This window comes from Homo sapiens, chromosome 1 (assembly GCF_000001405.40).
Source record: "Homo sapiens chromosome 1, GRCh38.p14 Primary Assembly".
Taxonomy (NCBI): Eukaryota; Metazoa; Chordata; class Mammalia; order Primates; family Hominidae; genus Homo; species Homo sapiens.
Window position 1 is genome coordinate 54,996,785 of NC_000001.11, and position 1,605 is coordinate 54,998,389.

At 56.3% G+C, this 1,605-nt stretch overlaps 1 annotated feature.

Moving 5' to 3' along the window:
• Positions 394-1,378: an enhancer, noted in NCBI's record as "OCT4-NANOG-H3K27ac-H3K4me1 hESC enhancer chr1:55462851-55463835 (GRCh37/hg19 assembly coordinates)". NCBI's record gives its function as "activates a minimal SCP1, AML or CMV promoter by ChIP-STARR-seq in naive H9 embryonic stem cells {active_cell/tissue: H9 hESC(naive)}" and the evidence as "EXISTENCE:reporter gene assay evidence [ECO:0000049][PMID:30033119]".

Sequence of the window (1,605 nt, forward strand, 5' to 3'; positions counted from 1 at the left end):
CAGAGTTCCTACCTGTTTCCTACTTGCTACTGAATTTCTTACTCGTAGTTACCTTATTTTTTTTTTTTTTTTTTAAGAGGAGAAGCGACTCAGAGAGAAAAGGGGCGAAGAAGGCTGGGCCGTGTAGAGGAAAGAAAAGGCGCGAGAGAAGAAGACTGCCCGGGTGACCGCGAGGCCTCTGAGGAATGGCTGAAGAGCAGATCCATCTACATGGGGCTGGGAGGGGAGGTGCGGTCACCGCTCAGCCGCCGACTCAGCCGAGGGAGACCTTGGCCAGCCCCTGCCACTCCGCAGGCTCGGTTTCCTCGCCTGTGAAATGCGGGCGATGACTCCCCTCCCCGCCGCGACTGCTCATCACCGGGTCCGAGCCCAGCCGCTGACCCCGGGGGAAGCGCCTTGCTCAGCGCCGGGCGGCCCACGAGGCCCTGCAGGACCGCGGCTGCGGAGACCGTTCCCGCCACCCGCCTGGGCTCCAGGGCCAGACGGGCTGAGGTCCCTCTGGGCCTCCGTCTCCTTTCCAGGGAGGGGCACCGGCTAGGTAACACGGCACTCGCCCTTTCCCTTCTCTGAGCCTGTAGTAGATGATGATAATAATGTTTCCGTGGAAGGTCCTGCTTTGTTAATAGTCACAGATTACAAAGTACTTGCCTTTTCCCACTCCCCTTATGTCCCTTCCCTGTACAAAACCTGGGAGGTGGCCTAATACCTATCCCCAATCTGCAGTTGACAAAACTCTAGCCCGGAGCAGAGCCACCTGCCTGAGCTCACCCTGAGAACCAGACCTGGACATGACCTGATAACTCAGCCCTTTCCTGCCCCTCAGCCATCGCTCAGCCAGGGCCCCTGAGCTCCCTCCAGGACCTCCTCTGCGAACTGTCAAGTGCACCTGGACTCTGAGGGCTGGCGATGGTGGGTGTGAGGAAGGAGAAACCCCTGTTGGAAAAAGGGCCTATGAGAAGGACGTCTAGTTAGAGGGGCAGCTGTGAGCACAGGTGTGGGGTTAGGGAACAAGGGCAGCCCTGCTGGCAGGAGGGGAGAAGGTGATGACCGCCAACAGGAAATCCCCAAGCCCAGCAAGTCAGGGAGCCCATTGAAAGCCTTTTATCCTGCATCGGCGATTTAACCCCATGTAAACGCCAAGTGAACATTCTCTTGTAGAGACCGATGGTCCTCATTTTCCTGTAATCCTGTAAAGGAATCTGATTTCTTCCATCAGCCTGTCCCTAGGACTAAAATGCCTCATTAGTGTTATTCTTAGGAAGGCATCTTCCTAGATCAGGCTGCAAGGAAATGGAGGAAGTGACTGTCAGTCACTCACACCCTGCAGGGGCACTAATTCCGAGAGCCTTAGGGGTGGGTGGGGAGCAGTTCATTGAAAGCCCAACTGGGTGGTGCATAGCGTGTGAATGTGAAGGGGATGGAGGAACCCAAGGAGGCCAGGCCTGGAGACAGCACCAAATCTGGGAGGTACATTATTATTCCCATTTTACAGAGGAGGAAACTGAGGTAACCTGATCATGACCACACTGCCCCACAGTAGAGGAGCCAGAATCCAAACCCAGGCAGCCTGCCTTGCCACCAGAGCCACGCTTTTCACCCTCAAGC